The sequence below is a fragment of the Homo sapiens genome, chromosome 7, assembly GCF_000001405.40.
Source record: "Homo sapiens chromosome 7, GRCh38.p14 Primary Assembly".
Classification (NCBI taxonomy): Eukaryota; Metazoa; Chordata; class Mammalia; order Primates; family Hominidae; genus Homo; species Homo sapiens.
In genome coordinates, this window is record NC_000007.14 from 10,133,542 (window position 1) to 10,158,513 (window position 24,972).

At 34.5% G+C, this 24,972-nt stretch overlaps 1 long non-coding RNA gene across 1 annotated transcript in view; it reads right to left on the bottom strand.

Annotated features, from left to right (window-relative positions):
* LOC105375149 (uncharacterized) overlaps window positions 1-23,426 on the bottom strand; it is a 69,718-nt gene extending 46,292 nt beyond the window's left edge. The window contains exon 1 of the long non-coding RNA XR_001745088.2: window positions 23,327-23,426. This is a non-coding gene — a long non-coding RNA (uncharacterized LOC105375149). The remainder of the gene's footprint in view (window positions 1-23,326) is intronic.
* Between the last annotated feature and the right edge of the window lie 1,546 nt (window positions 23,427-24,972).

Sequence of the window (24,972 nt, forward strand, 5' to 3'; positions counted from 1 at the left end):
AAATTAGCTGACATCAAAGAATGGTGTTAAAGGATTAGCACAAGTGAAGGCTCTTTCCATATACAAAATAAATTTAACTAAAAATAAACTTTGATATTTTGTTAAAAACCAATGCTTAAAAGCTTTTAAATTACAAGAAACACAAAACTTCTTACCAAGAAAAATACAAATATTCAGAAATAGTTATTTATCTATACAAATGCCTGGAATCTAGCCTCAGATCATACTGAGAGTTTTCTGCTTAACAGTTGGGTGTGACCAGGAAAACACAAGCTATTTACAACAAAAAGTTGTGACAGTGCAGGTCTTGATTGGCATGACAAAACTGAAGAGGCAACATCATTAAACAAAATTAGCAGGGACTCATGTTATACAGACTTTAACCCATTATTACATATGCACATCAGTGGGTAGATGACATGATTTGGATTTGTGTCCCTGCCCAAATCTCATGTTGAATTATAATCCCCAGTTTTGGAGGAGGGGCCTTGTGGGAGGTGATTGAATCATGGGGCAGATTCCTTCTTGCTGTTCTCTTAATAGTGAGTGAGTTCTCGTGAGATCTGGCTGTTTAAAAGTGAGTGGCACCTCCTCCTTCACTCCCTTGCTCCTTCTCCAGCCATGTAAGATGTGCCTGCTTCCCCTTGTCTTCCACCATAATTGAAAGTTTCCTGACGCCTCCCAGCCATGCTTCCTGTACAGCCTGTGGAACCACGAGTCAATTAAATCTTTTCTTATAAATTGCCCAGTTTCAGGTATTTCTTTATAGCAGTGCGAGAACAGACTAATACAGTAGATATCACTTCAAATCTCCCTTTTCAATTTAATACTTTCTTCTCATTTCAGATATCTTGGAATTTGCTAATGGACTACTTCCAAATGCTGTTCTCCAACTAACGCAGGTTCTTATCACAAAATGAGCTCATTTGCACGTGTTTAATGCTCTGCAAGGAGTACAGTAACTGTGTCAGTAGTGCTTTTGCTTATCAAATTTACATTTCAAAGTGGCTAAATTGTTTTGAAAGTGTATCCCAATGTGGAGTCTTTTGCAGTCACTGCTTGATGTTTAAAATGCCTGATAGCTACAGAAAAAAGGGAGAGAGGGAGAGAGAGAGTGTGTGGAGGGGGAGACACAGAAATATGTATTTCTTGGCATTTGTTCAAGAACAAAGGAAGAATAAAATTGCTTCCAAATAGAGCAAATATACAGGTGGCTATTTCTATAGATACATTTGGCTTATATCACTATATTTAGTATAAAATTGAATTGAGTGTTAGTGATTGAAGGAATTTTAGGTAGATTCTACTTCATCCTCCTCATTTTATAAATGCAAAATTCAAAATCCAGAGAGCTATGACATGGGTTTAATCATATAGTTTTGGGGTAAGATGTGGCTCGATTTGATCCCTGACTCTGGCTCTTAAGCTATGGGAATACTAAGCATCAGCTTCCTCATCTGCTAAAGATTTGATAAAACAATTTTTAAAATTAATTGAATAAACTATGAAAGAAATTCCAGTGGGAAAGACCTGAGTCCACTTATTTATGGCTGGAATGCTGACTGATATAGTACCTGACAGCAGAGTTTCACTGCAACTTCCTAAAAGGTAGGAAATAGCTCAAGTTTTGTGATTCCAAATTATCCCTCTGATTTTTATTTCGACAAATTGCTATGGGGAACTGTCATTCTGATTATACTTCTGAACCAGTGTCTTAGAGCAGCTTTATGACTGACACACATGCCAGTTTTGAGAGAGTATTAGGATTAATGAAATGAAATAAAGAAAATGTCTGTTTACTGCTAATATGAGTTTCTTAAGAAGTTCTGTTAAAAGACCTCATTTCCTCTATTATGATCTATTATATTAGAATAAATACATTCTCTTGGGTTCAATAAAACATTTGTTTATTTCTAATTATATCTATAAGAACAAAGTTAAAAATATAGATTGGATTCAATAGCTGGTTTAATATCTATATTCCGAAACTGTCAATCAGTAGATTGATTTCAATATGGAAAAATGTCTCTAGAGACACCTCCTGCTCTCCACACCAATCAAAGACACGGAAAATGCCATGGGATGCATGGTATATAGTTTTAGGAGACAACATTGAAAGAAATAGCTAATATGTGTAAATTACAACTATGTTTCTCATAATATTAAAAGAAAGGCTAAAATTTAGGAACATAATTTAGTGAAAATACAGAAAACCTTTTTAATTTCAGTTACAGAAAAAAATACTAGTTTTATAAATATCCTTTGTTTTAGACTTAGTTTAGCAGTAGTTTCTGTTAAACATATTGTAGTTATTTTAGTTGGCCACAAGTTCAAACTAAGTGTATAAAATGATTGACAAAAACTAAACTTTTAATATTTTGGATGGCTTTGTTCTGAGCTTGTCTGATAATAGCATTTTCATTTCTCAGTGGCACATTTTGAGAGGAAGCATTCTATATGGAAAAACATCTAGGGAGTAAAGGAAATACATTGAGACATGATTGAAAGTGCTGCTGTGGTCTAAGTGTTTGTGTCCTCCCCAAAGTTTGTGTGTTAAAATCCTGATTCCCCAGGATAATAATGTTGTGAGGTGGGGCCTTCAGGAGATAATTAAGTCATGAGGGCAGAGGCCTCATGAATGGGATTGATGTCCTTTTAAAAAAGGCCCAAAAGAAACCCCTTGCCCTTTCTGCTATGTGAGGACAGAGCAAAAAGACTGCAGTCTTTGAACTAGGAAGAGGGCCCTCAACAGAGCTCAACCATGCTGCATCCTAATCACAGACTTGTAGCCTCCAAAAGAGTGAGAAATAAATTTCTGTTGTTTATAAGCCACTCTGTCTATGCTAATTCTTTAGCAACCCAAACAGACTAAGACAAGTGCTTTGTATTATCAAAACATACAGAGTCAAACTATACAAATTGATTAACTAAAATGTAGATTTGAAGGACAGTCTATAGGGCGACAAAGGAAAGCTGCTCTGTTTTGTGTCAATGAGCCAGGACCAATGGGCAAAGTTACAGAGTCCAATTTCAGCTTAGTGCAGTAAAAACAGCAGTTACAGCTGCCCAACAATATACCAGTTCCACTCTCAGAATAGCAACTGAATGATCACAGAGCATGGAAGAAGGAATCTGTGATCTGGAAAAGAAGTCAGACTCGAGTGCTGGAAGTTCTATGCCTTCTGGGAACTAGATCTATTAGAGTAAAATATCAGATCTGTACTCAATTATAACTATATTCTTGAACTTCAAGGTGAGACTTGAGATATATGTATATGTGTCTATTATTTTTTTCACCAAGTTAGACAATATTTTGTATTTAACCTTGCCACGTGTCTAGTATTTTTCTAGACCTATTACTTTTATATTTCTTCTCTGTACAGTATAATTTGTTCACTTTATCTTAAGTTTTAGAGTTTTTTACTGCCGCATTCAATTTATATATTTCATAACCACCAAATATAAAACTGCTTCACTTTTGACAACAAATTCATACCTATTCAGCTTAATTTTAAAAAATAAAATTAAACCCCTAAAGCTAGGATTTTACTTTGTAGAACTCTTATAAATCACAATTTTTTCCTTTTTTGTAGGATAACAGTTGATATATTTGTCAAGCTTTTTTTGTTGAGAATGAGTCTTGCTCTGTCGCCCAGGTTGGAGTGCAGTGACGCAATCTCGGCTCACTGCAAGCTCTGCCTCCTGGGTTCACACCATTCTCCTGCCTCAGCCTCCTGAGTAGCTGGGACTACAGGCACCTGCCACCACGCCCAGCTAATTTTTTGTATTTTTAGTAGAGACGGGGTTTCACTGTGTTGGCCAGGATGGTCTGAATCTCCTGACCTCGTTATCCACCCTCCTCAGCCTCCCAAAGTGCTGGGATTACATGCGTGAGCCACCGCGCCCGGCCTATATTTGTCAAGTTTTACAATCTCATCAAAGGCATATTTACTTTTAAGCTTTTAAGAACGTTCTATATGGTTAAGATTAACATAACTCTACTTATAATATTTGTGGGGAAAATAATTATAAAACAATTTTATAAAATTGCTGAAAAGAGAATGTGTTTTTCATTCAACAGAAACATGCAGTGAATTTGACTCACAATTCCTGCCTCTCCTCAATTAAAAACCTCTTCTTACATTTCCAGCCTACAAAGCTTCTCCTCCTTTACTTGTCGTTAATTATACCAGCATTTTCTCCTAGACTCTATTAATTGGTAGGTTCTAGGCTAGTAAAAGACCTCTGTCTATCCATTCACTTACTGTAACAGAGAGCTGACACAGAAAATTCAGATTAACATTCTAGTAAAAATGTTATTTAAACCAATACTTAAATTATTTTTTGGACAAAATTATCTACATAATTTTATTAATCCTATACTTCACAGAGCCAAGCAAAGTTATTGAATTGATTGGGAATGCATAGCTAAAAACAAAATGGAATTTGATTACCTATGAACCTCATTTAAAAAATAATAGCAGTGTTAACCCTATTTTGACTTTTACATGCTGAATATTTGTGTTCTCCCAAAATTTATGTTGACTGTAACCCCCAACGTGATGGTATTTGCAGGTGGGGTCTTTAGGAGGTAACTAGGTTGAGATGAGTTCCTGAAGGTGGAACCCCCATGATGGGATTAGCGTCATCTCAGTGTGCTGTCACTAAGAAAAGGCCATGTGAGGAGGTAACTGTCTGCAAGCCAGAAGCAGGGTCCTGACTAAGAGCCAAATCTGCCTGCACACTGATCATAGACTTCCCAGCCTCCAGAACCAAGAGAAATAAATGTCTGTTGTGTAAGCCAAGATAAGCGTTCTTTAGTTGGAAAGATTTTAGTCAGGCTTCTGAAACTTCTCCTAGGCCCATATATGCCCTTCCTTATAAAATCCAGTTTTAGCAAAAGAACCTGGCTAAATCAGTTTAGCCAGGACTCCCCATCCTCGATATCTGATTATCTTCAATATCTGATCAGATTCCTCCTCCTCTACCATCCCCCAGCTGATGTCTGATCATTGTGGCTTGTCTTTAGTAAAAATCCTGTTAACTTAATTTAGCCAGAACACCCCTGACCTCTGACATTTCCTCTTAGTAATTTTCCATCCACTGACTCTCACACTGCTCCTTGGCTAAAATTCCCACTTGTTCATACAGTATGCAGAGTTCAATCTCTCTCCTCAGCTTCAAGACTCTGTTGCAGTATTCCTTATAACTATCACAATGGTCCTGAATACAGTCTTCCTTACCATGCTTTAACAATTGTCATTGAATAAGTTTTTTCTATAACAACCATCCAGTCTATGATATTTCGTTTTAGCAGCCTGAGCTGACTAGGACACCGCGCAAGCCAACTCTAACATAGGAAAGTATCTTAAATTGATTGACTAAAGTTGCAAAAGAAAACGTGGAACAGATACTATCATAGTGCATTAGGATTAGTTTCAAGTTCACTTTGATAGAAAAAAAGGGCTTATAACGTTATTAGAGTTTTAGACCCTCATGAAAATCTCCAAAACTGGATTCTTTTGAAAAATGAACACACTCAGATGCAGACTAAAACTGAACGTCGTATGCTTACTGTCAAACTGACCACACTATTTTCTCTTTGGAGTTAGAAAACTAAATCTAATCAAACCAGTTAAAAAGATAAAAGCATCGTAAAATGTATTTTAAGCTACTGAAAATGTAGCCACTACAAAAGTATGTTTCACAAGAAACCTAAGTAAGACTCAAATCTATTCAATTAGTATAGAAAAAAAGCACTAATAGTTTCCAATATAATTCCACATTTGTTATATAGTTTCATTCTGCCAGGTAGATATGGGCAAAAGAACAGTGCTCCTTTCAGGTAAAGAATAAATTGGGTTATGCATAGATATTCATAATTTCTTTAGCATCCTCCCCACAATATAGTTCATGCTAGGAGCGAAATTTTTCCCATAAGCAAAGTCCTAAACAAAGTGCATTTCCCCCAGACAAAAAACAACCATGAGTGTCGTACAATGCTAAGAATCACACTTTCACCCTTCCTCTGCTCCTTTTTTTTTTTCACCTTGTCAGGAACAATCCTATCTTTGCCCATTTGAGGAAATACATATTTTGGGAAAGGAGGAAACTATTAGTTTAAGTATACAACCAATGATAGTATCTAATGGCTAAAATCTTGAACATCAAACAGAACCAGGGAAAATGAAAAGAAATTAATAAAATTAGGAGAGATGACATTGTTAATATCCAGCCCTTTTTCTCTCATAAATTATAAACCTATAGCTCAGAAAGTTTTAATTTTTCAAGATGCAAGGCCAAACCTATGGCTAATGGCCAGATGAGGTGAGTACAGACCTAAAAATAATGAAATATATTGCTAGTCCTGCTTTTAACTGACTAACAAAGCTCAGGTAGCTAAAATGTTATCCCTCTAAGAGTGGCTCCTAGGATTTGCCTCCTAAGTAACTGAGCTAACTAGTCATAGATTTTATGAATTTACATGTAGTCTTTCCAAACTTGGGTAACAGCATTCAAGTTCATCCTAGGATATTTTATATCCGAAGGCCCATTTTGGTGGTAGCCAGAATCTTTGTATGCACATGCAAATTGAGCATTAAAAACTTGGCATTTCATATAGAAATAGTTAGAACTCATAAAGAGCAAATCACAGATATTGGAATGTTTTTTTGAACAGAGATAAGCAAGCAGTATGCTACATTAATTTTTAAGTCTCTGCATATTAATTTCCTCAAACAATTGCATTTCTCATGCTTGCTTTAGTTTTGAACACATTGTGATAGAGCATCTTTATTTAATATTTGATCATGCAAAATTAAACACATTAGAGTTTAATCTTTCTGATAATAAACTAATGACAACTTAAGATTTATTTTCCTCGAGATTGTTTCAAAAGTCCCTGAGATGTTGATTTCTGAACACCTATTAAAAAACTGTAACCTATAGGGACATCTCCTAAATATTGCTGAATCAAGTTACTTTCTCAATTTGAAACTCTATTGATTCGTTCTAGGTTGCTTTCTTATAACTTCAATGGTCTGAGAAGAAATAGTAGTCACCAAATCCTATTCTTGGTTTCATAAAACTATTTGAAACTGAAAAATGGAGTCTATTTCAGCTTACTTTAAAAAAGATAATTGTCTTTAAAATGAAAAGGAAAAAAAAAAAACCCTGTGAGAGAAACAAAACTAGCAGCTTATATGTTAACATAATGTTTCTTTTCTTCTAATTTGGATAAATTATATAAACCCTTTATGGTTGCTCATTACTGGTCTACTTCATCTTTTCTTGCATTTCTCTTTCCTATAGTCTACCTCCAGACCTATCGAACTGCTTGCCATTTCCTAAAATTGCTATGCTGCTTTCTCCCTGGATGCCTTTGAATACAGTTTCTTGTAAATGCACAGCCTTCTCTGTCAAATTCCTCAGTGTAAATCATCCTTCAGGAACAAAATCAAGAATTGCCTTCTCATGGAGATGTTGCCTGGCAGTCCTCAAAGTTGTAAAAATTTTTGTTACTTTTTGTATAACTCCATCAGTAATTATTGTTCTGTGTTGAGATCATGGATTTTATTATCTATGTCTTTTAGTATCTGCAAACACTTTCAGTCAACAGGTTGTGTCTGGTTTATTGAACATTGACTGCAATAGGACTGGAATAGACGTTGTAGAATTGAGAAAACAGGTGAATGAACAAATGAAGAAATGAGAGCAAACTTCGGTGACTCAGTGCATTGCCATGTAATTTAGCAGAACCTCAAAGGATATATACATAGTAACCTAAAAAGGAAATTTCTAAGCAAGTAATTCAGTCCGTCGATTCATTTGGTTGTAACTATTGCCATTATATCACAGACCAGTAATTTCAGTTATTTTAATAACCAAATCAGTTTGATCACTGATTTCTTCACTACATATTTCAGCCCCTGCTCTGGGGTTAAAACTGGCCAGGAAACTTGGAGCTACTTCTTGAGAGCTGAAACTACCTCTGGATAAGGTACAGATTAATAAGACCACTGATAAAAATCATTAAAAAGGTGCAGCATGCGTTGCCTTTTTTCAGCAGTGAGATGTGCTGCAAGGTTTAAGTTTTGGAGTCAGATGAGTATGTCTTCAATTCCTTTACCCTCTAAATGAGTGACCTTGTTAACTTTATCCATAAGAGTGTTACCTTGATACATTTCTTAGCCCTCTGTGTATTTATTTTTATTTTTAAAAGAATATCCACATCTACCTTCATGAGTGGGGGTAGAGAAATGGCACAAGACTGATGAGGTAACATATGAAAAATGTCTACTTCCGTATTTGACACATAGTAACTGATGAATATTAGTTTATTCTTTTTACTACCATTTTTTGTTTACTAACTCTTTTCATTGATCTTTGCCCTGCCTAGACAAACCTTCTGAATTGCTGAGGCTATTTTGTGGAGAATTACAGAGGCCACTAAACTCTTCCTTAACTCTTAGAGTGCAGCAGAAGTTGTAATAGCATCACTGAACTGAACATAATGATTACTGGGCAATCTCTCCCTCCCTCTCTGGTTGTCTTCCTTCCTCCCTCCCTTCCTCGCTTTTCTTTTTCCCTTTTTTCTGCTTTTCTTTCTGTCTTCTTCCTTTTTTCTTTTTCTCTTCTTTCTTCTCTTTCTCCTCTTCTTAAATATGAACAAATGTAAGAAATACAAATATGTTTTAAAAGTAAAAGTTCAACTTTATAAATATTAATCAGTGAATATATGCTCTAATTTTATCTGAGGGTACTCAGTCATCTCTAACCTTTAATTTTATATGAGTTATTTTCCAGAATTATTTTTTTGCTTGGCTCATAGTAAAATCCTTAAAACCCATCACAAACTGGTTAAAATATTTTGTGTTCTCCTTGCATCAAAAGGTACTTACTGCTGTATCTTTACAAGTTTGTTGTTTTTTATTCAGCTTACTAAAAAAAATTAATTTGTTTAATTTTGTGTAAACAAAATAATCAGTCAATTGGTGAATTTTTAACTTTTTAACCAATTGTTTGAACATTAGGTAGGTAGATGTAAGTTGTTATTCCACTGGAGCAAGCATGATAGGGAGGCATTTTCTTGCACTAGCAGAGATTATAGCTGCTGAAATAGACTTTTAAGGTATTAGACAAGTATTTGGTGGAGAATGGTTAATAAACACTAATTAAGTCAGCTCCAAAGAAACCCTTGGAGGAAGATCAATATTATTAAGTGTTTAAACTAGCTTTTCACATTTACCGAATCTATATGGAACTGGGCAAGCTGCAATGCCTCCTTCACTTTCTTACTTTCTGCTCCCCTTTCATTTAAACTGATTGTTGGCTTGCAGCTCACACTTGTAATCATCTTTTTCTCTCTAGGAACTTATTTAAGTTGCCATATATACATCATATATTATATATATACTGCATAACATTCCTTAATGTTGAGTTACTGAGCTTGGCTGATATGAAAAGCTGCAGAATCTGCTAGTGCTAGATTAAAAATGTATATGAACAAGGCAAAAAATAAAAAAAGGATCCCACTCGCTTCCTCCAAGTTAAAAGAAGATAAAACTGTACTTGATTGAGAAAGAAAATAAGAATAGTTCTGATTTTGGCATTAACTTCCATAATCTAGAGCTAAGTAATGACTACTTGCCCACAAGCAAAATAAATCACCAGGTACACAGGATATGAAGTACATTATGAATACGAGCTGCTGTCAATTAATTATTGGTTAATTAACATACATCCTAGATTAATAATAATCATAATTAATAATGATAACAGCTAGCATAAATAGAATTATCTTACTTAGTGGCAGGTGCTCTACACTTTACATTTCATCTTCATGGCCATTGCACATGATAGGCACCATTATGATCCTCACTTTACAATGAGTAATCTGAAGTCTAGAGAATTTGGATAATTGCTAAGAATCACATAGCTATTAGATCATGGATTTGGGATCTGAATCCAGATAACACACTTCTACAGTCTATGTTCTATCTAAAACAATTTTTCATTTCTCACAATGTGCCAAATTCTAATCTTACTGAGGCTAAGTCCAGGACTGCAGAGTTGATAGAAAGACCACCAACAGATCTTTAGGCAATCCTTCATAGCAGGTAATTAAAATATTTGCATAGGAAAGTATTAGAAATAGAAAAAACTAAAATGATCAGAGACGACTCACTTAGGGGCCAGCGTATTAGAAACTCTATCAGAACAGTATTTGCCATTTTATGAGATAATTGATTTTCTAGTTTTATTCCTTTCTCACAATAACTGCAACAATATTTACAGTTTTCAACAACACACTAACACTACAAATAAGAAGGCATTATATTTATTAAATGCTTCAAATGCATCAAGCATTAAAAAAGGGCATTATATACATTATTTCATTTATTTCTTGCAACCTTGTAGAAGAGATATTGTTTTATTTTAAAATTGAATATACTGGTACTTAGGAAGTTTACTATATAAATTAATAAACTACAAAATTAAGAAAATAAGTCACAAAAACACACATTCCAACAAACATGTATTTTATAAGCATCCTACTGGCAAAATTAAAATAGTATCTGCTGGTGTGGATGTAGGAACTCTGATACAGGTCACTTCATGCACTGCTAGTGAGAGTATCGACTGGTGCATTTAACCTGGAAATCACAGTGGAAGGCAGTTAAATTGCTCATGGCCCAGAAATTCTCATTTTGCATATATATATTCCCAAGATATACATCACAAAATTCTACAAGGATATTAATTACAGCATTGTTTGTGATAATGGTTAGTCAGAGGTGTCCATCATATGAGGAAAAACTAGATAATGTGTGGTAGAAAGTCAACATGAGGTATCATGCAACAGTGAGAGGCAAATGAGTGTGTGAATATGTGTTTGTATGAACAGGTCTCAAAACCATTGCATAGAGTGGTATAAAATACTTGCAAATTACATATCTAAAAAGAAACTTGCATCCTGAATATACAAGATAATTTAAAACTAAAAACTAATAGAAGAAATAGTCCAGTTGGAAGTAAGCTAAGGATATGAATTGATATTTCTCTAAGAAATATATACAAATGGCCAATAAGCACATGAAAAGATGCAGAACATCATTAGTTATTAAGGAAATACAAATCAAAACCACAATGAGGTACCACTTCACACCCACTAAAATGCATACAATAAAAAAGACAATAACATTATAATATTCAAATATTCAGTTCTCAGCAAAAAATTATGAAGCACACAAAGAAATAGGAAAGCATGACCCATTTAAATTTGACACAAATCAGCCCTAAAAAAGTTCAGACATTAGAAATATAGGACAGCCATTTTAAAACAACTCTATTAAGTATGTTCAAAAAGCTAAACAGACATAGCTCTCCCTAGCCTTTTCTCCTAGGCCTTAGTTCATCTGTTGTGTGTCTCAACCATAATCTTTTGCCCCAGCCATCTGATGCTTTTCTGGCCAGAATAAGTTCCAAGACAGGCAAAAAAGGGAAAAGTGACTTGAGTCCTTCAGGCAGTTCTCAGCCAGACATTAGAAATATAAGACAGACACTTTAAAACAACTCTATTAAGTATGTTCAAAAAACTAAAGGAAAATATGGACAAAGAACTAAAGGAAATCAGAAAACATGTATAAACAAAATAATATCAGCAAAGAAATACAAATTTGAAAAGAACTAAACAGAACTCCTGGAGCCAGAAAGTACAATAACTAGAATAAAAAATTTGCTGAGGAGAATCAATAGCAGATTTGGCAGGCAGAAGACAGAAGCAGGAACATGAGGATAGGATAACTGATATTTTCCTGTCTGCAAAGCAGAAAAAAAAAAAGAAATGAGAAAAATGAACTGAGTGTAATAGACCAGTGGGACACAATCAAGTAGCCTAATGTCTGCTTAATGGGAATTGTAGAAGAAAGTAAAAAATAGAAAATTTATGTGAGTGTTAATGGCTAAAAACTTCACAGCTAAACTGACATATGTATAGTCATCCTAATCCTAAGCGAATTCAAAGTCCACTAGAATTATTTATACAAAAACTCACTCTTTTAATTCTCTGATCTCATTATCTCCATGAACTTCATTCTTACTCCACTTTGGTTACTTGCTCCAATTGCTTCCCTACAGCTTTTCACATCACTCAAAATTGCTTTTTCTCTGAAATAAGAAATTCAATTGCCCACTTTCTCAATGCAATCCAAATCCTTATGGCTAGCTTACTTAGTTTCCTCCATTACAAGTATTCTTCAGCTTCATCAAGATCTGCAGCCTTCTGACTTCTCCCACATTCTTAGTCCTGTAATCCTATCCTTTGTTTCCTTCCTAAACTGATTCTGATTCTGTACCATTTTAAAATCGATTGAGTCCTCTCCTATAGCATCCCAGCTTTCTAAACCCCAACCTTTTCTTATGCCTGTACCTTGACTGTAGGTAGCTACTACTCCATATTTTTACCCTCTAACATGTCATTAACACAACGTAGTTTTACCCTCTGCACACCCAAAATCTGTTCTTTCCAATTTGATTCTTGAACTATATGTGTTTAAATTCAACAGATACTTCACGCATCTTACGTTACTTAATTGTCTTTAGTATTTGCACTATTTACCAGTCCCACTTTAAAACACTCTCTTTCCGTGGCTTTCATGACACTCAATGCTACTGGGATTGAGTAGCATCAAGAAAATATTTTCTTGAGTTTTCTGTTCAACTTTTAAATATTGAGAATCTAAGAGATAATTTTGTATACTTTTCTTTCACTCAATGTCAACAACCCTCATATGTTTTGGGGACTGTCTTCGTCTGTTTGTGTTGCTATAAAGGAATACCTGATGCTGGGTAATTTTTTTTTTAAAGGCTTATTTGGCTCAGGGTTCTGCAGGCTGTTCAAGAAGCGTGGTGCCAGCATCTGCTTCTGGCTAGGGACTCACTATTTCCACTCATGAAGGAATGTGAAGAAGAGATGGCATGTGAATATCACATGGTGAGAGAGAAAGGAAGAGAGGAGGGGGAGATGCCAGATTTTATGTATTTATTTATTTAACAACCAGATTGCATGGGAACTAACAGTGAGAACTAACTCACTCCCATGAGAATGGTGCCAAACCATTCATGAGGGATCTGCCTCCAGGACCCAAATACCTCCCAATAGGCCCTAATTCCAACACTGGGGATCAAATATCAACATGAAACTTGGAAAGGCCAAACAAACCATATCCAAACCACGGCAGAGACTTTCAGTAAAAACCATGCCTTGGTTAGTAGTAGATTTGCGGCGGCAGCAAATCTCTATATTTTTTGTGAATTACAATGACACGTTCACTTAGCTTTATCATCGGTGTGGGGTGACAACACTTCAGACCAATAACAGATTCAACTCCACTGAGCTGGTGGGGGCATGTAGAATAAAGAGGAAAAAAATAGTGATTTTTAAATCTAAATTCAAAGACCATAGGATGTCTTCATTCACTGCAAGGTGATAATTTGTGAACATATTGAAAGACCCATGGAAGTTAATACCCATATTTTCTGAAGAAGACTTTTGCCGAAGGAGATTTCTGCTTCAGGTGGTGAAGGAGTTTAGAACACACCACTGCAAAATATGCCATTCTGGCAAATTTTACTTACATATTTTACTTACTTTTCCACAACTGCCTTTCTTGGTTTAACCTAGTATAAAAGCATTTAAGTTTTATCAGTTCTTTCAGTAATCATTTCCTTATGAGGGCTCACTTGTCACATAAACCCATATTAAATAAATGTGTATATGTTTTCCTAGTGTTAAATCTGCCTTATGTCAAGTTAGGTCTCAGGCACAACCAGAGACCCTAAGAAAAGAGAGGTAGAGTTTTGCCTCTTCTACAGTGGGAAATAAAAGCTGTTAGATTTAGATTTATTTATAAAGACTAGTAAAGTTTAGAACACATTGATGCAACATGAGATTGGATAAGTACAAATTTCCTATAAAAACAGAAGTGCTTTGGGCATTTGGCATTAAGTAATGAGAAATAAATGTCAGGGTAAACCTCAATTCTTCCCCAGTATAACTCCCATTAAAATTATATGTTCAGAGGAAACATTTTATTTTATAAATACATTTACCCCTTTCCCAGACCTATTCTGTAAATAATTACTCACTTTACCTGTTGGAGCCTTTTTTTTTTCTTTTTCTTTTATTTTTATTTTTTTGAGACGGAGTCTCGCTCTGTCGCCCAGGCTGGAGTGCAGTGGTGTGATCCCGGCTCACTGCAAGCTCCGCCTCCCGCGTTCACGCCATTCTCCTGCCTCAGCCTCCCCAGCAGTTGGGACTACAGGCGCCTGTTGGAGCTTTTGAGGCTCAGAATACAACATTACATTGAGAAGGCCTCAAAAGCAGCATCAGAAGCAAAGTTTATCTCTGACGTTTTCCTGCTCTCCTGTCACTCACCTCTCATTCTCCCAGAGGCAAGACATAGAAACTCAAAGCTCTCTTTCCTAAGGCAGGTCATAGAAATAAAAACTCCCTTTCCCCAAAGCCAGCCATAAAACCTAAACATAGTATTATAACTTTCTGACATATTTTTGTGTAAGAACTGGCCATAAAGAAATTCTATGACCTACGTTTGATTGTGGGTCGTAATACCCCCATTCCAGGGAGATCCCTGCCCCAGAACTGGAAGAAAGAAAGGCTGCACAGAAAGGCCAAGAGGAATCTGAATAAACAGCCCTTTTTGGGTTTTCCTCTCAATCTATTACTATTAGATCCTACTCTTTTTATCCAGTCACATTTCTACCTGGCTGTTCCTGCTTCATCAAACCTGAATATGAAACCAGACATCTTACTGTGTACCTTTGGGTTTTCATTTCCGATGGCTTTCATGTCACACAAAACTATGATTAAATGTGTTACGCTTTTCTCTTGTTACCCTGTCTTTTGTTATAGGAGTGTCAGCCATAACCCTTATAAAGAAGAAGAAAGGGATGACACCCTTCGCATCCCTACAGGGCCTCCCTTACTGCTCCGAGGGCAGAAAACCAGGTTGGATACAGCCCTGTCCCATGTATTTCAATTTTTTAAATCTGTAATTTTTCTCCAATTAAAGAAATAGTTACATTACTAAAGCATCTTTTTTAGGTGAAATCTTCATAGATTTAATGTTTTTGTGCTAAGAAGAAAATGGATATGGTTTTAAAATCAACCAAGGAAAGTTTCTTAAAGAAAGGTGATGGTTAGACTGCAAGTTGGAGAATTGTGTAGAAAGAGATTCGTCATGCTGTGGCATAACGATGCTCACAGTAAATACTTGCTCAAATCAATTAATTGCATCCAGAACGGTTTCAAACTTCTATCAGTGGGTAATCGAGGTTCTCCAAGAGTGTTGCCTCAATGTGTATTTTTAGCCTTCTCTCTCACAGAATTTATTAAACAAAGAAATAAATACAGCCTTGCTTTATAGCTAGGTAAATACATTCATTGTGATCTAAACATATCTTCTCATTTCTAACTCTGTGATTATATTTCTTGCACTGCTTCTCTCACCTGGAAAGCCCACCTTAGCTTTTTTATCTGTTTACATGCTATACTTACCTAAAGTATAAATAGATGCTCTTTAAAAAAAAGTTTTTGACTGATAATTTAGCCCACTGTGATCTATTTCTTTCTAGACTCCTTTTCATGTAATGAGGTTGTTTTCAACAAGTTAATATATAAAATGGGTTACACCTAAGCACATATGTTTTCTGTTTATACTTGGAGGATGTCACCACTGCATTTATTGATATTTGACTATTCCCATAATAGTATATGCTGGTTTTTACTGTTATTTTACTGCTGTTTCTCAATGTTTTATCCAGTAGTTCATAATACTTTATTACCCAGGGGACATAACTTTACTTCTTCACATTGAATGAAGCTGTTAACACACACTGCAAGTTCAATTAATAACTGAAGACATAAATATTCAAGAAAGGTAAAGGAAAGAGGGAGAAATAGAAGGCAGACAAGAAAGGTAGAAACAAACAATGAAAAAGGAGAACATGGAACAACTAAAGTTGTCCTCATTGGTCACTAACCCCTTAATGACTTTATAAACACATTTTGAAAACAGCCTGAAGAGTTAAGTCTGTGAGTTCACATTTGTAAAACTGATTAAATATTATACAGTTCTCTGTAGATATAAGGCATTAAAAATCATCTAAATCTAAAACCAGGGTAGCTTTTGCTCTCAATATTGTTGTATTGTATTTTAAATTTGTTTCACACTGCTCTGTCCCTTTGTTAATTTAATGAAAATTGTTAAATACTTTTGGAACTTGGAACGTACAGAGTATATTCCAATGAAATTCTGTGACGAGTCATCATCCTTTTACTAAGACATACTTGTCTTGTTTTTTTTTTTCCAGAGAGTCAAAAGCCCTTAACTATAGACAATAAATCTGCTATGTAACAGGAATTTTAAAACTCATTTTAAATCTCTTCATCACTTTAAATGTACACTAAAGAAATCAAGTTATACTTGATAAAGGCATCATTTGATTTTATGGTCATTTAAAAGTCTCTATTATATATTTTACAATTGGCATTTTCAAATATATAAATATATATTTACACATAATATCATATGGTTTCCAAATATGCTATTAAAATCTAGTACAAGTTTTTGAGCAAGATTCCTACAGTTAATTGTTTACCATAAAAATAAACTACAGTTTCTATGCATCCTGAGATTTTATTTATTTTGGTTTAAAATTTTTAAAAAATTATTTCTAAAAATTTTGTGGGTACATAATAGTTGTATATATTTATTGGGTATGTGAGATGTTTTGATAGAGACACACAATGTTAAATAAGCATATCAAGGAAAATGGAGTATCCATCCCATCAATTATTTATCTTTCATGTTACAAACAATCTAATTGCACTATTTATTTTTAAAAATACAATTAAGTTATTATTGACTATAGTCACCCTATTGTGCTATCAATTTGCATGTCTTATTTTTTCTTTTTTTTTTTTGTACCCATTAGCCATCCTCACCTCCCACGCCAAACCCCTATTACTCTTCCCAGCCTCTAGTAATCATCCTTCCACTTTATATGTTCATGAGTTCTAGATTCCATGAATAAGTGAGAACATGTGATTTCTATGCCTGGCTTATTTCACTTAACATAATAATCTCCAGTTGCATTCATATTGTTGCAAATGACAGGATCTCATTTGCTGAGTATGTGACTAAAAAAGTAAAAAAAAAAGTTGGTTGCTAAATAATTTTTAATACAAGAGGCGTTCAATTAGTTAAAAGGAGATACCTTTAAATAGAATAAAGGTGATATGGCTATATGTTTCTAAAATATTAACAACATTTTACACCTATAGGTAAAATTTTAAATTTCCTCTGTTACCTATTGAATGTCTATAAAATGTGTCTCTTGTTTGCATTTCCTAGTTGACAGTTTTTGTTGTTGTTGTTGTTTTGTTTTGTTTTGAGACAGAGTCTTGCTCTGTTGCCCAGGCTGGAGTGCAGTGGTGTGATGGCGGCTCACTGCAACCTCTGCCTCCCGAGTTCAAGAGATTCTCCTGCCTCAGCCCCCTGAGTAGCTGGGATTACAGGCGCACTCTGCCACACCGGGCTAATTTTTGTATTTTTAGTAGAGACAGGGTTTCACCATGTTGGTGAGGCTGGTCTCAAACTCCTAACCTTGTGAACCACCCGCCTCGGCCTCCCAAAGTGCTGGCATTACAGGCAGGAGCCACCGCACCTGACCAGCTGACAGTTTTTCTATTTGAAATATTTTGAATTTATTTGTAGAAGGCATTTAAATTTAAATATTGTAGATAAGGTATTAGTTTGGAACTATTCAAACAATAATGCTAAAATCAAATATGCTAAAAATGCATGATCAACAGAATTTTGCTTTCTGCAGTGTATTGGGCAAGATACTCTTAAAAAACCTCCTGTTACAGAACTACTATATTCTGGATAAAACATATTTTCAATATTGCTGGCTCACAAAGAGTCACTGTGTTTCCAAGGATGCTCCATCCTGCTCCCAAAAGAACAATAAAATAAAATGCCATGAACTGAAATAAGAAGTGCGAGCAATGACTAATAAATCAACTAAAGCAGGAACACTTCCCTGAAAGATAAATGCTTAAATGTGTGCAAGTTTGAAGACTAAATCTGGGACCAGTGCATATGAAGACTTAAATTAACCAGAGTCATTCACATTGAATCCACATCCTTTGGAGCTAAGTTATTCCCAGCTTTGCAGTATCTCTTGTATCTTGGCAAATATAAATGCTAATTTTCTCTGAAGAAAATTATTCACGATTAGGGCCAAGAGTAATGTCACTGATTGAGATGATTGTCAAAGATTCCCAAGCCACCATGGACAAGTCAGAAGAAACACAGACATAGGTGCATAAGGACTATGAATTCAAATGATCACACAAGGAATTTTTTTAAATATATGAAAAAAGTTCAAATTAATAAGATTTTACCTAAAACACATACTGAAAATAAACAGGAAGTTTTGGAAAAGAAACAACTCCTTTTGAATTAAGAAAATATAAATGATAAATCAAAATCTCTGTAACAGATAGCAGTATAATAAAATTAGGGGACTTCAACATGTCACCAACAGCACTAGACAGATAATTGTGATGGAAAATCAAAAGAAACTGAATTTAAACTGGACTGTAGATCAAAGGGACCTAGTAGACATTAACAGAACATTATACGCAACAAATGTAGAATATATATTTTTTTGTCATCTGTGCATGAAATATTCCCCAAGATAGACCACATGCTTAGTTGTGAAGCAAGTCTCAATAAATTTTTAAAAAGTAGAAATCACATCAAGTATCTTTTTGGAGCACAGTGGAATAAAATTAGAAATCAATACCAAGAGCAACTCTCAAAACTATACAAATATATGGAAAATAAACAACTTGTTCCTCAATAATCATTTGTTAAATAATGAAATTAAGGCCAAGATTCAAAAAATTTTTAAGTAAATGAAAATACACACAACACATCAAAACCTCTGAGGTACAGCAAAAGCAATGCTAAGAGGAAAGCTTATATCACTAAATGCCTACATCAAAAGGATATAAAGTTCTCAAGTTAACAACCTAATGCCACACTTCAAGGAACTAAAAAACAAGAACAAACTCAAAACTACCAGAAGAAAAAAAATAACAGAGATCAGAGCAGAACTAGATTGGGACCAAAAAAAAAAAAAAAAAAGATACAAAGGATCAATGAAATGACAAGTTAGTTTTTTGAAAAGATAAATAAAATTGATAGAATGCTAACTAGACCAACCAAGAAAAAAAGAGGGAAAATTCAAATAAACACAATCAGAAATGATAAGGGTGATATCACAACTGGTACCACAAAAATGAAAAAGATAATCAGAGACTACAATGAGAATCTCTACACACACAGACTAGAAAATCTAGAGGAAATGGATAAATTCTTGGAAACATACGATCTCCTAATATTGAGCCAGGAAGAAATAGAGACCCTGAACAGACCAATGATAAGAAATGAAATTGAGTCAGTAATTAATAATCTCCTAACAAATAAAAACCCAGAACCAGACAGATTCACAGCCCAATTTTACCAGATGCATTACACAAAGAAGAGCTGGTACCTATCTTACTAAAAATTATTCCAAAAAAATCAAGGAATAGGGATTCCTCCCTAACTCATTCTATGAAACAAGTATCACCCTGATACCAAAATCAGGCAAGAACACAACAACAAAAATAACCTACAGGCTAATATCATTGATGAACATAGTAGCAAAATTCTCAATAAAATACTAGCAAACTGAATTTAACAGCACATCAAAAAGTTACTACATCACAGTCAAGTCGGTTGTCTGTTACTACATCACAGTCAAATGGGTTGTCTGTTACTACATCACAGTCAAGTGGGTTGTCTGTTAATACATCACAGTCAAGTGGGTTGTCTTTCAGGAATGCAATATATCCAAATCAATAGGTGTAATTCACCACATAAACAGAATTAAAACCAACAATCATAGATCATCTCAATAGATGCAGAAAAGCATTTAATAAAATCCAACGTCCCTTTATGATAAAAAGAAAATCTTCATCAAACTGGTCATTGAAGGAACATACATCAAAATAATAAAAGCCATATACAACAAACCCAAAGTAATATCATACTTAATGAGGAAAAGATGAAAAGTACTGGAAAAATACAAGTATATCCACTTTCACCACTCCTGTTTAACATAGTACTGGAAGTCCTAGCCAGAGAAATCAGGCAAGAGAAAGAAATAAAAGCCTCTAAATTGGAAAAAAAAAATGAAATCAAATTATTTCTGTTTGCTGATGACATGGTATTTTACAAATAGAAAACCCTAAAGACTCTTCCAAAAGACTCCTAGAATTGAGAAATGACTTTAGTAAAGTTCCAGCATACAAAAATCAATGTACAAAAATTAGTAGTATTTCTATACATTCTATACAGAGTGTTCAAGTTGCAAACCAAATGAAGAACCCAATTCAATTTACAATGACCACAAAAATATAAAAAAGAATACATCAAACCAAGAAGGTGAAAAATTTCTAAGAGCAGAACTACAGTAGTAATAAAAGAAATTATAGATGACACAATCAAATGGAAAAACATCCCATGTTCATAGATTGAAAGAATCAATATAGTTAAAATGACCATATCGCTCAAAGCATATACAGATTCAATGAAACTCCTATTGAATTACCAACATCATTTTTCACAAAATTAGGAAAAAAAATTCTGAAATTCTTGTGGAACCAAAAAAGAACCTCAATAGCCAAAGCAGTCCTAAGCAAAAAGAACAAAGCTGGAAGTGTCAAATTACCCAACTTCAAATTATGCTACAAGGCTATAGTAACAAAAATAACATGGTATTGGTACAGAAACAGACACAAAGACCATTGGAGCAGAGTACAGAACCTGGAAATAAAGCTGCATATCTATAGCCAACTGATTTTTACAAAGTTGATAAAAACATACAATGGGAAAAGGGTACTGTCTTCAACAAATGGTGCTGAGAGAATTGGATAGCCATATGCAGAAGAATGAAGCTGGAACCTGTCTCTCATCATGTGCAAAAATTAACTCAAGATGGATTAAATACTTAAATCTAAGACCCAAAACTATAAAAAAAAACTTGAAAAAAGCTGAGAAATAACTCTTCTGGACTCTGCCCTAGGCAAAGAATTTATGACTAAGACCTAAAAAGCAGAGGCAACAAAAACAAAAATAGACAAATGGGACTTAATTAAACTTGAAAGCATCTGCACAGCAAAAGACTTAACAGAGTGAACAGACAACCTGAGGAATGGGAGAAAATATTTGTAAACTATGCATCCAACAAAGGACAAATATCCACAGTCTACAAGGAACTCAAAACAATTCAACATACAAAAAACAACCCTAAGAAAAAGCGGGCGAAGGTTATGACCAGACAGTTCTCTAAAGAAGACATACAAGGAGCCAACAAACATGAACAAATGCTCAATATCACTAGTCATAAGAGAAATGCAAATTAAAACCTCAATGAGATACTATCTCACACCAGTTAGAATGGGTGTTACTAAAAAGTAAAAAAATTAAAAAAAAAATCAACAGATGTTGTTGGTAACAATGTGGAGAAAAAAATATTTATACACTGTTGGTGGGAATGTAAGTTAGTCCAACCTCTATGAAAAACAGTATGGAAATTTCTCAAAGAACTAAAGATAGAATTACCATTTAACTCAGCAATTGCACTACTGGTAACTACCCAAAAGAAAATAAATTGTTACGTAAAAAAGACACCTGCACTATATGTATGTTTATCTCATTGTTTAGCAAAGTCATGGAATCAACCTATATATCCGTCAGTGGTGCACTGGATGAAGAAAATGTGGTACAGATACACCAGGAGCTACTACACAGCCATAAAAAGATTAAATCATGTCTTTTGTCCCAACATGGATGGAACTGGAGGCCATAATTCTAAGTGAAATAAGTCAGAAACAGAAAATCAAATACTGCCTGTTAACACTTATAAGTTAGAGCTAAACAATAGGTATACATGGACATACAGACTGAAATAAAGACACAGGGCACTTCAAAAAGGGGGAGTTTTGAAGGAAGGTGAAGGTTAAAAAAATTACCTATAAGGTACAATGTTTACTTTTTGGGTGAGAGGAACCCTGGAAGCCCAAACCTCACCATTACACAATATATCCATGTAACAACATATATCCATGTAACAAACCTGACATGTACCCCCTGAATCTATAAAAATGAGTAAATAATAATAACAATAATTAAGTCTTTAGATAGTTTAAACAATAGACAGATTCACCTGAAAGAGATATTTGTGAACTAGAAGTTAGATTTGAAGCTATTACTCTGAAAACAGCAAAAAACATGTTCTTTTCCCATTTTCTCTTTTATGTAGAGAAAAAATGAGGAAGAGATATTGAGGATAAAAGGTTAAGGGTGACTGTAAATCCAGGTGTAACTCCCAATAGAAAAAAAAATAGAGAAAATGGAATCTTGACATATTTGAAAAAACAGTAGATGAAGATTATTTGGAAAGGACAAAACACTTGAATGTACAGACATCAAAAGCAGAATATATTTGAAACAAAGTAAATAAAAATATTTCCAAAAATAAAAACTTCAGAAAAGCAAATATAAAGAAAAGGTATTTCAATGTACCCAAAAGAAAAAAATGTAAAAAATAAAGACTATTAGGCAATATTCTCAACAGCAACAACAGAGACCAGAAGACATAAACTACACAAGAGAAAATGATTGCTTCTTAAGGATTGTTTTCCAAGAATATGATGAGCTCTAAAACTGTTGTATTATTTGCAAGTGTATTACACTGATTGACCCTTATGCTTTGATAAGTTGTTACGCATTATAGAATTCCAGAGGTAATTAAGAAGAAAACTTAAAATATACAAATATCTTTATTAAGTATTATATCAGTGTAACAATTCTGCACATGCACCCCCAATCCAAAATTATATATATATGTATGTAAATATGAAATAAAAATAAAATATACAAGCAAGTAGAAAAAATAAAATAATCCAAAAACTTCTGGGCAATATAAATGAAAAGGTAAGATTAATAATTCTAAGAATACAAAATAGCAATAATTCTAAAAATGCAAAAATAGCAAAATAGAGACAAATTTTAAGTTAGAGATTTCAGAATAAAATTGAAATAAATTAAAAGAAATTTAAAAAGAATAAAAATATAGGCTATTTATGAGATGGCGCAGTGACCCCTCTTAGGCACCTGCCAGTTACCTCTCTGCCTCAAAGCATGGAATAAAAGGAAAATCTTGAGTTCTTCCAGCGGAATTTTCAGGCACCCGGCTAGCCATGAGAAGTAAATCAGCAATCTGATAAACAAGAAGATAATAATACCTTAAAATAATATCCAAGGAAATTAGAGCCACAAAATGTTTGGTTCTCAATAGAAACTAAAGACAGCATCGTAACATGGGTCCCTGAATGGTTTCTCAGAAACCTAGACTCCTACCAAACAAAAATTGCTGCCTGCTGACATGTAGACCTCAGATAAGGAAACTGAGGACTGAACTCTGACTTCCTTTCTTTGTTCTAAATTTCCTTCTGAGAAGCCTAGAGGTATTCATGCCGCAGGCCAAAGCCAACATTCCTTTCTGTTGACCCAAATTTTTAGACAAATCTTTTCCTCCTTTACCAATCACAGATCAGAAAATTTATGTATTATTTAGCATTTGTCTTTTTGTGCTTGGTTTATTTCACCTAGCATAATGTCTTATGTTGATCCACTTTGTTACGAATGACAGAATTTCCCTTTTCTAAGGCTGAATAATATTCTCTGTGTGTGTGTGTGTGTGTGTGTGTGTGTTGTGTGTTACATTCCTTTATCCATTTATCCACAGGTGCTGTAGTTTTCCTGTACTTTTCCTTTTCTAGATTAAGTAAATTCATTTCTATACTATTTAGCATATAATTGTTATGAATAAATGTTGTTTGTTCATTAAATGCTTTTTTTGCATCTACTTGTGTGATTTGTCTTTTATTTCCTCAATGTGATAAAGTACATTAACTGATATCTAATGTTTAACAAATCTTGCATTTCTTAAATAAAATTAATTTGGTTATAAGGCATTATCCTCATTAGATATTAGTAGATTTAGGTTGCCAAAATTTCTTTAATATCTTTGTCTCTATGTTTAGCAGTAAAATTGATCTGTAAATTTCCTTTTTATGTACTTCCTTGTTAAGTTTTGGCATGAAGATTAGGCTAATCTCATAAAAGAGCTGGTCAGTATCTGCCAGTTGTTTTGTTTTGTTTCAGAAAGAAAAACCATAAAAATGATGACATATGCCGGGTACAGTGGCTCATGTCTGTAATCCCACCACTTTGGGAGGCTGAAGCGGGCGGATCACTTGAGGTCAGAAGTTGAAGACCAGCCTGGCCAACATGGTGAAACCCCCGTCTCTACTTAAAAATACAAAAATTAGCTGGGCGTGGTGGCGGGTGCCTGTAGTCCCAGCTACTGGGTAGGCTAAGGCAGGAGAATTGCTTGAACCCGGGAAGCTAAGGTAGCAGTGAGCCGAGATCGCGCCACTGCACTCCAGCCTGGGAAACAGAGCAAGACTCTGTCTCAAAGAAATAAAAACAACATATACACCTGCAAAAATCATCACATATTAATTTATGCAAAGGACAGTATTTCTTAGGGCCATATGGATTTGAATTGTTCTAGGCAAGATTTTGTTATAATATCATAATTGTAGGTATCAGATCCTCCAAACAGTATAAAAATCCTCAAGGTGATGACGTTCTTATTGTTGTTATTTTTACCCAAGACCTCACAAAAATGTCAGGACTCCTTTTGCTCAAAACTGGTCATTTGGCTGGATGCTCTTGGGTAAAGTAGAACATATATTTTATTTTA